The 15,822-nt window shown below is 41.4% G+C and overlaps 2 annotated features.

The window, feature by feature from the left end:
- Positions 14,100 to 14,269: an enhancer, noted in NCBI's record as "experimental_32807 CRE fragment used in MPRA reporter constructs". NCBI's record gives its function as "activates a minimal promoter by MPRAs in K562 erythroleukemia cells, with activity observed for the non-introgressed 13:28082555 variant allele {active_cell/tissue: K562}" and the evidence as "EXISTENCE:reporter gene assay evidence [ECO:0000049][PMID:34662402]".
- Positions 15,160 to 15,329: an enhancer, noted in NCBI's record as "experimental_32806 CRE fragment used in MPRA reporter constructs". NCBI's record gives its function as "activates a minimal promoter by MPRAs in K562 erythroleukemia cells, with activity observed for both the introgressed and non-introgressed 13:28081495 variant alleles {active_cell/tissue: K562}" and the evidence as "EXISTENCE:reporter gene assay evidence [ECO:0000049][PMID:34662402]".

Genomic DNA, 15,822 nt, shown 5'->3' with positions numbered 1-15,822 from the left:
TCTGGACTCAAGTGATCCTCTTGCCTGGCCTCCCAAAATGTTGGGATTTTACAGACATGAGGCACCCCCACTTGGCCTGTTGTCTGTTGAAGACTTTGAAAGATTCCATTTTCCTCTATAAACACTAAGGTTTTTTAAAAAAAAATCCTCTTTGCCCATTGCTTGTTTTTATAAAAACTATCTTTAAATTAAAAAAAATGTAACATTTAATATATACAAAATAATGCATATGATAACATGAGCAATAATAATAAAATGAACACCATGAACCCACCACCCAGCCTGAGAACAAAAGTGTCACCAGAGTCACTAACACCAGCTGAGCGTCCTTTCCTGCACCCATTTCTCCTGCCTTATCCCCAACCCTGGGGGTTACACAAGTCTAAATTTTCTGTTTATTATCCCTTGCTTTTTAAATGTACAGTTTTATAATATGAGGTAGAATTTTGCTTGATTTTGAGATTTATAAAATATTACATGCTGGCTCTTCTGAGACTTTTTTGATTCAGTGTTGTTTCTAAGATTCGTCCTTGCTTTTGCATATTGCTGACAGGCATCGATTTTCACTGTTTTAGAATATTCCATTGTGTGATCACACCATGATTTATTTATCCTATTGATGGGCATTTCATTTGTTTCTAGTTTTTGTGTGTTCTGAGTACTGCTGTGAACATTCTTCCAGATCCCTTTTGGCAAAAGCAAGAGCAACTCAAGGGCATGTAGCTCAGAAACGAATTGCTGGAACTCCAAGTTGTTTCCCAAGTGTCTGTATCATTTTACATTCTTCCCAGCAGTTCACAAGAGACCTGTCAGGATGGAATAGCATTGCAGTATTAATTTACAGTTATCTGCTTGCTAACGAGATTATCATCGTGCCACAAGTTTGTTCTCCGTTTACTTTTTCTCTTCTGAAATATATTTGTGCATGACCTTTGCCCATTTTACTGTTGGGTAGTATGATTTTTTTCTTATTATTTTTAGTAGTTCTTTAATTTTTTTTTTCTTTGAGATGGAGTCTCACTCTGTTGCCCAGGCTGGAGTGCAGTGGTGCGATCTTGGCTCACTGCAACCTCTGCCTCCTGGGTTCAAGCGATTCTCATGCCTCAGCCTCCCGAGTGGCTGGAATTACAGGTGCCCACCACCACGCCCGGCTAATTTTTGTATTTTTAGTAGGGATGGGGTTTCACCATGTTGGCCAGGCTGGTCTCAAATACCTGACCTCAAAATCTGCCCACCTCGGTCTCCCAAAGTGCTGGGATTACAGGCGTGAGCCACCGCACCCAGCCTGCTTTTACTTTTTAAATTGAGATAATCCACAGATCTAGAAGCCACCATTTTAAAGTGTACAATTCAGTGATTTTCAGTATATTCCAAAAATTATGTACCATCACCACTATCTAACCCCAGAACTTTTTTTTATCACCCAAAACCCTTTTCCCGTAGCAACAACTAATTTACTTTCTATTTCTATGGATTTACCTATTCTGGATATTTCATATAAATGGAATTATATAATGTGTGGCCTCTTATGACTGGCTTTTTTCATTTTATACAATTTTTTTTTTTTTTTGAGGTGGAGTCTCGCTCTGTCGCCCTGGCGGGAGTGCAGTGGCGCGATCTCGGCTCACTGCAACCTCTGCCTCACAGATTCAAGCGATTCTCCTGCCTCAGCTTCCCCAGCAGCTGGGACTACAGGCGCCCGCCACCATAGCTGGCACAATGTTTTTAAGGTTCATCTATGATGTAGAACTTTATTCCTTTTTATGGCTGTGGAGGACAAAGCGACTCCATCTCGGATCTAATCTGCCATGTTGACTCCCCTCCCTTCCCCTTCCCTCCCCTCCCTTCCCTCCCCTTCCCTTCCCCTCCCCTCCCCTCCCCTCCCCTCCCCTCCCTTTCCTTCTTTCCTTTCCTCTCCTTTCTTTTTTTCTTTTCTTTTTTAGAGCGGAGTCTCGCTCTGTAGAGGCTGGAATGCAGTGGCGCAATCTCGGCTCACTGCAAGCTCCACCTCCTGGGTTCAAGCGATTCTCCTGCCTCAGCCTCCCTAGTAGCTGGGATTACAGGTGCCCACCACCATGTCCCGCTAATTGTTTGTAGTTTTAGTAGAGACGGGGGTTTCACCATTTTGGCCAGGATGGTCTTGATCTCTTGACCCCCTGATCCGCCCACCTCAGCCTACTGAAGTGTTGGGATTACAGGCGTGAGACACCGCGCCCAGCTACCATGTTGACTTCTGATTAACACCTGGAAATGCCTCTAAGATTTATACTTTATGTAATGTTACCATAATTCCTGCCCTTAGGTAAAACCAACCTTTATTATAAATTATACCCTTAGGCAGATTCACATATCATTCTTACCTTTTCCTGGTCTATACATTACTTGCCTATGGCATATACACCATGGGTCTTGGGGGAAATGGTGTGGGGATCCACCATCTTATCTTGTGGCCGCCCAAGGCTATGGCTTCTGTTTGTAAGACCCCATTAAATGCTTCTTTCTAAGAAACTTGGATAAGTCACATTTTATCTTCAGCCTCTCATCTTCCTAGGACTTTAGGGGTAGCTTTGCATCAACCTGACCACCGTGGAACAATGGTTGAATAACATTGTATGGATATCCCACATTTTCTTTATCCATTCATCAGCTGCTGAACATTTAGGTTGTTTTCACCTTTTGCTTATATGAATAATGCTGCTGTGAACACTGGTGTACAAGTTTTTGTGTGGACATATGTTTTCACTTTTCTTGGGTGTATACATAGGAGCAGAGTTGCTAGGTCATATGGTAACTCTATGTTTAACTTGTTAAGGAACTGTCAAACTGTTTTACAAAGCAGCTGCACCGTTTTACATTCCCACTAGCAATGTATGAGGGTTCCAATTTTCCATATCCTTGTCAACATTCATTATTTTTTTTATTACAGCCATCCTGGTGGGTGTGAAGTGATATCTCATTGTGATTTTGATGTGCCTAACTCTAATGACTAATGATGTTGAGCATCTTTTCATGTGCTTATTGGCCATTTCTATATCTTTTTCAGAGAAATGCGTGTTCAAATCCTTTACCCATTTAAAAAATTTTATTGTTGAGTTGTAAGAGCCCTTTAAATGTTCTGAATACAAGTCCTTTTTCAGATATATGATTTGAAAATATTCTTCCCCTGTTCTATGGGTTGCATTTTTCCTTTCTTGATAGTGAAGCACAAAATTTTTTATTGTAATGAAGTTCTATATATCTGCTTTTTCTTTGGTTGCTTATACTTTCATTGTCATTATCTAAGAAACCATTGCTTAATCCAAGGTTACAAAGAGTCACATCTATGTTTTCTTCTAAGAGTTGAACAGTTTTAGCTCTTAACTTTAGGTCTGTGATCTTTTTTGAGTTAATTTTTGTATGATATGAGGTAGGAATACAACTTTATTCTTTTGCAAGTGGATACCCAGTAGTCCCAGCACGATTTGTTGATAAAATTATTCTTTTCCTGTTAAAATGCCTTGGTTCCTTTGTTGAAAATCAATTACCCATAAATGGATGGGTTTACTTCTGGCTTTCAATTCTATGCCATTGATATATGTCTATCCTATGCCAGTAACAAACAGTCTTTCTTACTAGGGTTTCATAGTAAGTTTTGAAATGAGAAAGTGTGAGTGCTCCAACTTTGTTCTTCTTTTCAAGACTGCTTTGGCTATTCTGGGCTCCTTGCATTTCCATGTAAATTTTAGAATTAGTATGTCAGTTTCTGGGGGGAAAAAGCTCTGTTGGGATTTTCATAAGAATTGCATTAAATCTACAGATTAATTTGGAAACTATGGCCATCTTAACAAGATTAAGCCGTCCCACCCATGAACATGGTATGTATTTTTATTTATTTAGGTGTTCTTTAACTCTTTCAAAGATATTGTGTAATTTCCAGTGTACAAATCTTGTTCCTCCTTGGTTAAATTCATTCCTAAGTACTTTCTTCATTTTGATGCCATAATTTTATAAATTGTAATTTTTTATCAATTTATAAATTAAATTTTCTTAATTTCAAATTATTTCTTGCTATTGTTTAGAAATGCAATCAATTTGTGTATATTGATCTTGTATCCTGCAATCTTGCTGAACTTGTTTATGAGTTCTATAGTTTTGTGTGGATGAGGATCCTCAGATTTTCCATACATAAGATTATGTCACCTGCAAAGAAAGATAGTTTATTTCTTCATTTTCAATCTTTCCCTTTTCCAATTCTTGTTTCTTCCTCCAATTGTCCTGGCTAGAATTTTCAGTACAATGTTGAATGAAAGTGGCAAAAATAGACATCTTAAGTTTTTGCTGATCTTAAGAGGAAAGCCTTCAGTCTTTCACCATTAAATATGGTGTTGGCTGTGAGCTTCTCATAGATGCCCCTTATCAGATTCATGAAGTTTCCTTCTAGCCTGAGTTTGTTCAGTCATGAACAGGTGATAGATTTTGTCAAATACTTTTTCTGCATTGATTGAAATGATTATCCTGTGGTTTCTGTCCTTTATTTTGTTAACATGATGTATTATATTGATTGGTTTTGTATCTTGAAAAAGCCTTGTATTCCTGGAATAAATCTCACTAGGCCATGTAGTAATTTGAGTCTTCTTTCTTTTTTTCTTGCTCAGTGTAGCTAAAGGTTTGTCCATTTTGTTGATTGTTACTGAACACCAACTTTTGGTTTCATTGATTTTCTCTACTATTTGTTTATTTTATTAATTTTCACCTTAAACTTCATTATTTTCTTCCTCTGCTTGCTTTAGGTTTAGTTTGTTCTTTATTCATAGTTTCTTCTTATGGTGGAAGTTTACATCATTAATTTGAAATATTTCTCCTTTTTAAATAGAAGTTTTTAAAAGCTATAAATTTTCTACTTAGCACTGCTTTGGCTACACCCCCTTAGTATTGGTATGTTGTGTTTTGTTTTTATTCATCTCTTTACTTTGCGATTTAGTTGCTTTTTACATATTAATCTTACACATAGGCACCTTACAAAATTATTATTTTTAATAATATTTCCATAGATCCCTTGAGTTTTCTGTGTAAATGATAACATCAAGTGTCATAAAATTTAGATTTATTTATTACTTTCCACCAGTAACCTTTACTTTTCTTTTCTTTCCTTTTTTTTTTTTGACAGTCTACTCTGTCTCCCAGGCTGGAGTGCAGTGGCATGATCATAACTCACTGTAGCCTCAAACCCCTAGGCTCAAGCGATCCTCCTGTCTCAGCCACCTGAGTAGCTGGGGTTATAGGCACAAGCCACCTCACCTCTCCAAAATACATATCTTTTATTTATATTTCTTCTCTTACTACTCTAAGACCTTGAATACAATGTTGAATAAAACATTTTAGATTTTTTAAAAATCCATCATTTTAATGGTAATAGGTCAGATGCATCTCCCTTAAAATTAGGCACAAGACAAGGGTATTTAAAGGCTCCTGTCTTTCTCTGGGAAAATTACAGTATTACATGTCCCCTGGCCATAGTGATTGCTTCAGGAAAGTACATATAACAAGCTGGCCCATCAGCCTTCTTCCACGATCTGTCAAACTGGATTGGGGAGGGAATAACCTATTCGTGCCTCTTTGATTGGAAAACTGTAAGAATTCACTCAGAAATACCAACCCCATATCCTCTGCGGAGTGAAAAAGAACAGTTGCAGGAACAGCAAAATAGACTGCTACCTCTCTCTCTCTCAGACACACACATACACACACATACACACACACAAACACACACCTCCCTAAACCTCAGTTTTCCTGCTGGGAAAATTGGAATAATTCTTACCTCATGGGTTGCTATGGATACTTAATAAAGGAATGATTAATGATTTAAAATGTTTAGCACAAAGACTCAATAAATACTACATGCTAATTTAATGTTATTAATGTTATAAACAAGATTATTCTACATGTGCTTCTTTGTGCTCCCCTTACTCTCACCTGGAATCCCCCACTTACCCACCAGTGTAGCATGTGGAAGGAATACTCTTCCCTTCAACTTACTAGCTTAAGAAAGGAGCAAATGTGACTCCCTTTATCACATATCAGGAGATATGAAAGTTTTGCTGCACTGATAACTTCCATCTGCTCAGGATCTGTTTCCAGAATGGCAACTCCAGCTTATATAATTTTTAAAAGTTATTATTCTTTGTAATTGTGGTAAAATACACATGGTATGCATGGTAACATAAAATATACCTTCTTGATCATCTTGAAGTGGATGGTTCATTGGCATTAAGTATAGTCACATGATTGTGCAACCATCACCACCATCCATCTCCAGAACTCTTCCATCTTGCACAACTGAAAGTCTGTTCTCATTAAACAATAACTCTCTTTTTCTCCAGATCCCAGCCACTGGCAACCACCATTCTACTTTCTGTCTCTATTTGGCTACTCTTGGCACGTCATATTAAGTTTTATAATATTTGCTCTTTGTGACTGGTTTATTTCACTTAGCTTAATGTCCTCAAGGTTCATTCATGTTATAGCATGTGTCAGAGCTTCATTCCTCTTTAAGGCCGAATCGTATTCCATTGTATGTATATATTATTTTTTTTTTATCCATTCACCCATCAATGGACACTTGGGTTACCTTCCCTTCTTGGCTATTGTGAATAATGCTGCTATGAATGTGGATGTTCAAATACCATTTTGAGATCCTGCTTTCAGTTCTTTTGGGTATATACCCAGCAGGTTGTATGATATTTAAAAAAGAAGCTCTAGAGTTGCAGCACAAGCCCTCCCTAGCTGTAGTTGCGTGCCCCCCTTACCAATAAGGACCCTGAGTCTCAGGGAAGATGGAAACTTGCCCGAAGTCTTACATGCAAGTCATGAAAGGAGGTGTGGTTCAGCCTGGCCCATCTGCCCCAAAGCCCATGTCCTTCCCACTGTTGTTTGCTCTCTCACCAAGCAGAAAAATACTATTAGAGACTATCAATGGGTTCCCCAAACTGACACGCTGTAAGAGAAATCCACAAATACAATCACTTTCTAATATAAGGGATAAACTAAGAACAGTGAAGGAGGAAATCCAGTTCACAAAAGTTTTAAAGAATATACTTGGAAATTAACCTGGTATGGAAAAAAATTACAAAATTCTGGAGGGAGAAATAAATAAAGTATTGAAGAATTGGGTGTTGGGCTCTGTTTCAGTCTAGGACAATTTAAAATGCTAAAGACGGAAGAGCTCCTTTAGCAATTAAAATTCCCACAGAAATCACATCAAAATCCATCTGGAAGAATAAATAGTTAAGAGTATTGCATTTGGGAAGGAAAATAACAGCAGAACCAGGATAATTAAACTTCTCAGATAACTATAAAATATATTGTTAAATGACAATCAACAAAACTAGATGATATCAGCATAAGAAGAGGAAAAATAATGATTAAAATAAAGCACAGATTCCTTATATATGCCTAACCTTTTTGGGAGCTATTATTAAGACTAACTGGGAATAAGAAAATAATGGGAAAGGAAGTGATTTTAATAGTGTCATGGGGAACTGGGTGACAATAACAGCTAATATTTAATGAGAATTAACTCTGCACCAGGAGTTCAAGTGCAATAATTAATTTAATACTAATGACAACTTCATAAGGCATATTATATTATTATCTCTATTTTATGGATGAAGAAACTGAGTTACCAAGAGCTTGTATAAACTTGCCCAAAGTCACACAGCAGCTCTGTGGCAGAGCTGGAATTTCCACCAGAGCATTCTCAGTCCAGGCCTCTCAAGCCCCATGCTGTAACTCCTCTCATGCTAAAGTGGGGAGAGAACTTCAGCCCAACAGTTTCAACAGGCTTTAACAACCCTACTAAAAATGCTAAAATAGGCCGCATGCGGTCCTATTTTAATCCCAGCACCTATAATCCCAGCACTTTGGGAGGCCAGGAGTTCGAGACCAACCTGGTCAACATGGTGAAACTCTGTCTCTACCAAAAATACAAGAATTAGTTGGGTGTGATGGTGCATGCCTGTAATCCCAGCTACTCAGGTGGCTGAGACAGGAGAATTTCTTGAACCTGGAAGGTGGAGTGCCACTGCACTCTAGTCTGGGTGACAGAGCAAGGCTGCCTCAAAAAAAAAAAAAAAAACTTACATAAAAAGTGTATTTAATATATATCTCAAATGTAGAAGGAGGTAAATATACTGGCACTTAATAAATAGAAGAAATTATCTGCCAGGTGTGTCAATTACACAATTACAAAATTACAGGCCTGTAATCCTAGCACTTTGGGAGGCCAACGCAGGAGGATTACTTGAGCCCAGGAGTTCAAGACCAGCCTAGGCAACATAGTGAGACCCCATCTCTACAAAAAATAAAAAATTAGCCAGGCATGGTGGAACACGCCTATAGTCCCAGCTACATGAGAGGCTGAAGCAGGAGAATCCCTGGAGGCCAGGGGTTCAAGGCTGTGGTGAGTTAGGATTGTACCACTGCACTGCAGCCCTCACAACAGAGTGAGACCGTGTCTCACAAAAAAAAAAAAAAAGAAAAAGAAAAAGAAAGACAAAGAAATTATCAGTGACAAGTGATTTTTATTTTTATTTATTTATTTATTTTTATTATACTTTAAGTTCTAGGGTACATGTGCACAATGTGCAGGTTTGTTATATATTTATACATGTGCCGTGTTGGTGTGCTGCACCCATTAACTCGCCATTTACATTAGGTATATCCCCTAATGCTATCCCTCCCGCCGCCCCCCGACCCACAACAGGCCCCAGTGTGTGATGTTCCTGTTCCTGTGTCCAAGTGTTCTCATTGTTCAATTCCCACCTATGAGTGAGAACATGTGGTGTTTGGTTTTTTGTCCTTGCAATAGTTTGCTGAGAATGATGGTTTCCAGCTTCATCCATGTCCCTACAAAGGACATGAACTCATCATTTTTTATGGCTGCATAGTATTCCATGGTGTATATGTGCTACATTTTCTTAATCCAGTCTATCATTGATGGACATTTGGGTTGGTTCTAAGTCTTTGCTATTGTGAATAGTGCCGCAATAAACATACGTGTGCATGTGAGTGACAAGTGATTTTTAAAAGGCTGGTAAAAAATAAAAATTTTGCTACCAAGAAGAAGTTTGAAATTAGATACAAGATCATGGTTTGTTAATTTCATGGTGGCTATGCTCCACCACCAGAATGACTGAAATTAAAAGAATGACAATACCCAAGTGTTGGTGAGAATAAGGAGCAACCAGAACTCATTGTTGGGGAGTGGGTTGTAAATTTACTCACCTGCTTGGAAACTGTTTGGGACTACCTACTAAAGCTGTGCAAAATCCACTCTAAGTCATGTACATAAGAGAAATGAGTGCATATATCTTTCAAATAACATGTACAAGATATTTGGAGCATCTTTATTCACCATAGCCAAGAAACTAGAAACAATCCAAATATCTACCAACAGGAGAGTGAATAAGTAAACTGTGGTACATTCAGACAATGGAGCAGAGCTCAGCAATCGAAAGGAGTGAGTCACTGACACACACAGCAATGCGGGTGAATCTTGCAGACACTTAAGAGTACATTCTCCATGATTTCATTTGTAGAATGTTCAAATGCAGGCATACCAATCGAGAGTTTTTAAAAATCAAAACAGGAGTTACTTTTGTGGTGGGGCAAGTATTTGACTGGGGAGTTTTTTAGGGTGTTGGAAATGTTCTACATCTTGCTCTGGATGATGGTTGCACAAGTGGAAATGTAAAAAAATCACGGAGCTGCACACTTAATATGTGCACTTTAACATATGTAAGCTATAGTTTGATAAAAAATTAAAACCAGCAAATCAACAAACAAAAATGTGTTAAATACGTGTGATACAACACTTTTTATTCATTCAACAAACACTTCTAAAATAGTTCTTGTGCCTGGAATGCTGAGGACACCTCACTGACTAAATGAGACCGTCCTCTAGGAACTCAAGATCCTGAGGGGATACGGATCAGCAAATACATATAGAACCTCATGAAATGTGATCGACTGGGAGGCAGGGGTTGTGGGACACTACCTCTGCTTGGGGAAATCAGGGGAATTTTAATAGGAGAGAAGAGGTTTGAGTGAGGTCAAAGATGAGTAGAACCACAGTGAAATACACCACGCACCCATTAGGCTACTATCAAAAAGAATGTAAAATAATAAGTGTTGGGAATGATAGAGCAATGGGAACCCTGTGCACTGTTGGTGGGGATGTAAATGGTGCAGCCACTATGGAAAACAGTATGACAGTCCCTCAAAAAATAGCACTACCGGCTGGGCGCAGTGGCTCACGCCTGTAATCCCAGCACTTTGGGAGGCCGAGGTGGGCGGATCACGAGGTCAGGAGATCGAGACCATCCTGGCTAACACAGTGAAACCCCATCTCTACTAAAAATACAAAAAATTAGCCAGGCGTGGTGGCGGGTGCTTGTAGTCCCAGCTACTTGGGAGGCTGAGGCAAGAGAATGGCGTGAACACGGGAGGAGGAGCTTGCAGTGAGCTGAGATTGTGCCACTGCACTCCAGCCTGGGAGACAGAGCGAGACTCCGTCTCAAAAAAAAAAAAAAAAAAGCACTAGCATATGATCTAGCAATTCCACTTCTGGGTATATATCTCAAAGAGATGAAAGTAGAGACTCAAAGAACTATGTGGACACCTATGTTCACTGCAGAATTTTTCGCAATAGCCAAGAGATGGAAGCAATCCAAGTGTCCATTGCTGGATGAATAGATAAACAAAATGTGAGCTAGATACAGATATAATGAAATATTATTCAGCCCTGAAAAGAAAGGAAATTCTGACACATGATACAATGTGATGAACTTTGAGGACATTATGCTAAGTGAAATAAGCCGGTCACAAAAGGACAAAAACTGTATGATTCCACTTACATGAGGTGTTTAGGGTGGTCAAATCCAGAGACAGAAGTAGAGGGAGATAAAGTAGGGATGGTTAATGGGTACACAAATACAATTAGATAGAATGAATAGGATCTAGTGTTTGATACACAACAGGGTGACTATAGCCAACAGTAATCTATTGTATATTTTTAAATAACTAAAAGGGTAGAATTGGAAGATTCCTAACACAAAGAAATGATAAGTGCTTGAGGTGATGAATATCCCCAATTACCCAGATTTGATCATTACACATCATATGTCTGTATCAAAACATTGCATGTACCCATAAATATATATACCTATTATGTACCCCAAATAATTAAAAATAATTTTTTTTTAAAGAAAACAGAGCAGAGGTTGCAAAGGGCTGAGGGGAAAGGGAGTGGGAGTTAGTGTTTAACAGGTACAAAGTTTCAGTTTTGCAGGATGAAAGAATTCTGGAGATGGATGGTAATGATGGTTGCACAGCAATGGGAATGTCCTTAATGCCGCTGAACTGCATCTTTTTTTTTTTTTCTGAGATGGAGTCTTGCTCTGTTGCTGAGGCTGGAGTGCAGTAGAGCAATCTCAGCTCACTGCAACCTCCGCCTTCTGGGTTGAAGCAATTCTTCAGCCTCAGCCTCCCCAGTAGCTGGGATTACAGGCATGCACCACCACACCCAACTAACTTTTGTATTTTTAGTAGAGACGGGGTTTCGCCATGTTGGCCAGGCTAGTCTCGAACTCCTGACCTCAAGTGATCCTCCCACCTTGGCCTCCCAAAGTGCTGGGATTACAGGCGTGAGCCATCATGCTCGGCCTGAACTGCACACTTAAAAATGGTCAAGATGGTACATTTTATTTGTGTATGTTTTATCACAATTAACATTTTTAAGCAGAAAGAAAAAAGAGTAGAGAACGTCCTGGCAGATAAGAGCACCCCTAAGTGTGGAGCCTTGAAAGAGCCCAGGGCGTCTTCAAGGACTGGCGAGCTGGTGTGTGGTGAGTGTGAAGGACACCGGGGGGATGTGGGAGATGGCACCAGCAATGTAGGTGGGCACTAGATGGGAAGGGCCTGAGTTATCATTTAAGGAGATTGAGCTTGAACTGATAGGAGCCATCGAAGGGTCCCAGCCTACAGCACATCTCCCTTGAGACCCCCACAACACTGCAGTGTCCATCTCCACCCAGCCTGGGCTGTAAGCTCCCGAGGGCAGGCGCGTCACCTGCTGCTCCACCATTGCATCTCCAGCACCCTGCACAGCAGATGTTGAAAGAACAAATGGCGCATTTTGCACTTTAGCAAGACCATTCTGTTGGTGCGCGGAAACCAGAATGGAGGGTGGGACAGGAGCCAGAGAGCAGTTGGGTAACCCCAGCAGGGTTCCAGTTATGGGAAGATAACCAGCAACAACAGCAGGAAGCAGAGGACAGTGGCTGCAGGATGAGGCACGTTTATGAGACAAGGATGAGAGGGCTTGGGTTGGATTGGATGTGAAGTGAGAGGGAGAGGTGAAATGTGAGCTGTTTCTAAAGCTTCAGGATGGAACACCTGGGTGGTTTCCTTGTGGGAGGGATGTCCTGGGGCAGGTGGCAGCAGACTGCGAGGATCACTCAGGCCCAGAGCTAGGGTGGACCCCATCAGTCTTTCTCAGTATCCAGGGCCAAGCACAGAAGCAGACACATGGCAGGCACTGAATAAATATTGTAAGAAAGAGAGAGACAAAGAGGGAAGAAGGGAAGGATAAAAATGCTGCCAGGAAGGGACAGAGAGCAATGGGATCTGCTCATTGACCTGGATGTTTTCAGTATCAGGATCACAGGTGAAGAGGACAGTATCACCTATATGATATGTATGAACATAGCATTGAGGCTATGGGACAAAGAAGTAGGGAAAACCAAGTTTGCAAGGGCTGGAGCAGGAGGAGGAATCAATGATGGTGTAGATGGACAAGTGGAAAGATAAGAGGGTGTTGCAGGGAGAAGAGAGCCCTGAGAAGGAGGCACAAAACCAGTACCCACCACTTGTTTGAGGACATGCTGACGACAGGCTGGGTGAAGACACTGGATGTCCAGGCAGGAGGTCATCAGTCACCACAGCAAAAGCAGAGCCTGCATGAAGGGGATGGAGATAGAGGGCCGGGGACAGAACCTGGATTCTTACGATAGCTGAGGGACCCAAAGAATGGCTGGAAGACTGTTGTTTAAGGAATTTATGTTTAGGATTGGGAGGATGGAGAATATCTTTAAGCTGACATGAAGGAGCTGGGTGAAAGAGACAGCTGGAGATAGAGAAGTGGGAAGGGTTGTTAGTGTGAGAATGTGGCAGCAGCAGGCCAGACGGGGGCCAGCACACAGTGAGGGTGGGCTCGGGACAGAAGGAGGAGGGATGAGGATCAGGAAGATGGAGAAGAAAACAGGATGGAAGCACACCTTTGTATTGAGCAAGACCTCAAGAGGTGCTGAACCATTTATGGGCCACTCTGGGCAAAGTTGTTAATAAAGCAACTGTGTGGACAGTAATGAGGCCATTGGCCCTCCCAAGGCTGGCTCCCTGAAGCCACGATGGTCACACACCAGCCCCTAACAGCACTTCCTTGGGAGCATCTGTCCCTGGTGCATCTCCACCAGCAGGAGCTTGCAGGTGGAAACCCATCTCCACTGTGGACCAGGCTTGTGTGTCCACGCACGAGTTCCCGGCTTGCGCCCTGCTGTGCCAGGCCCTCCCCTCTGTGCAGGCGAAGCAAAACCTGCTGCCTAACAGCGCCGTGCCCTGAGATTGAGTCCCGCCCATATTATGAATCAATTGAATTAGAGCAAATTACCCAGCCTTCTCAAGTCACATTTTCCTCCTCTATAAAATAGGGCCCAATGACCTAATGCAAATGTGTGTGGTGGATGAAAACATGTCATGTATTTCATGTATGAAAGCTACATGGGCCGGGCACAGTGGCTCATGCCTATAATCCCGACACTTTGGGAGGCTGAGGCGGGCGGATCACTTGAGGCCAGGGGTTCTAGACCAGCCTGGCCAACATGGAAACCCTATTTCTACTAAAAATACAAAAATTAGCCGGGCATGGTGGCACACGCCTGTAGTCTCAGCTACTTGGGAGGCTGAGACACGAGAATCACTTGAACACGGGAGGTGGAAGTTGTAGTGAGCTGAGATCGTGCCACTGCACTCTAGCCTGGGCGACAGAGCAAGACTCTGTCCCCCCACCCAGAAAAAAAAAAAGTAAAAAAAAGCTACATGGACTTACTCAAATTTCCCTTAAATAGTGTTGGCCATAACTAAACTGTGCACACATAGAGTTCACAGTATGCTCAGGCATAGGATCTCTCGCTTAAACCCCAGAACCTGTGAGTTGGCTATTATCAACCTATTAACATTTTAACATTGAGGAAACTGAAGCTTAAAGATGTTCGGTGGCTTGCCCAAGGTTTCTCACCTAATAAGAGGCCAAGCCAGGGGCCAGATGACTTTGCTTTTCCCTATATTTGTAGTCACATATTGAATAAAAACCTTTCCCTCCACCAGTAGTTTTCAGAATAGAGCTAGATCCTGTTGAATGAACATAGGCAATTGAATGTTGGTGTGGGTTTTACTTCACACTAGTGTGCTTAGAGCCCTCAGGGCTCTCCAGGCAGACTGAGAGGCTCTTTCCTAGTGCTCCCCTGCCCTGGGCACCATCCTTTACTCCAGCTTGATGTCTCTCCCATACACACAAAGCTCCCCAAGGCAGGATCCTTGTGTTTTCATCTTTGTGTTGCCAGCACTTAGAACAGCCTGGTACATTGTAGCTGCTCAGTAAACACCGGTGACTGAAGAAATTGATTCTGGGGTCTTCAGAACTGGCCCAGAGATTTTATTCTCTTCTCATAAGGCATCTGCACAGAGCTGCAGCTATTCTTCTTCTAACTTTGCCTGCCAAGCCTAGGAATACCTTCGTTTGCAATTTGTCTCCTCTTGCTTCTCATTGAATTCTGTAAAGATCACAGTAATTTGTTTGTGTATTAATCGGATATTGTTGAGCAGCTTCTGTGTGCCAGGCACTCTGCTAGGTGTTGGGGATGTGGCCCTTGAAGGGAGGCTTCGCACAGTTGTGTAGATTGTAGACTGCACTGTCCCGGGGCACACCATTCACAGCACAGCCTTTCCCTAAGACATCACTGTGTGCTCCAAGCCTGAGGACAGAGGAGCAGATCAGACATAACACCCTTCCCCCAAGCTGGGAAATGTTCGCTTCCATCAGATCTGGTGCTTTGGTGCCTGGGAGGCTGACTTAGGTGAGGAAGGGAGTGGGGCTTGAGTCTCTCCAGCATCATGACTCCTAAATCACTCAGCCTTGGCCTTTGAGGACCACAGCGCCTCTGGGGAGATTCTTTCCCTTCAGTGCCCCACCTGGTACTAACTTTCAGCCCCAGCCAAATTTTTCCAGATGGATTTCTAACCATGGAAATGGAGGTTTCTAATGGAAATCCCTGCAACCCTTTACTTAGAGCCACTCTGGGAGGCACCACTCTAATTATTCAATTGCCTAATTCCATTTATCTTTCATGATCCATTATGCACCGCTGACAGGCTGCGTCTTCCTTAGCAGATACATAACCTAGTCTAATGGACTCTGGGTGAAGCCAACTACATTGACTAAGGGATCTAGCTGGTACCTAATTCCCCTAAACTATTATTTTATAAATGAACAAGGCAGACAGACACATTTTCTGTTTTAGGATAAATATTTTATGAATTGCCCCGCTGATACATTACATTATTAGTACATTATGCTTCATCCCTCCCTGAGGTTTGAAGAGCCTGGGTACACACTCAGGAGTACATTTGGGTGATTTTATTGAATAGGCTGCTTTTAAAATCTGTTTGTATTAGTGGAAAAAGAGGAATAATTTTGTCTCATGAAAAGAAAAGTTCTTTAAATGATGA

The sequence above is a fragment of the Homo sapiens genome, chromosome 13 (genome assembly GCF_000001405.40).
Source record: "Homo sapiens chromosome 13, GRCh38.p14 Primary Assembly".
Lineage (NCBI taxonomy): Eukaryota > Metazoa > Chordata > Mammalia > Primates > Hominidae > Homo > Homo sapiens.
The sequence above is the reverse complement of the archived record's forward strand: the minus strand, read 5'-3'. Positions and strand labels throughout refer to the sequence as shown.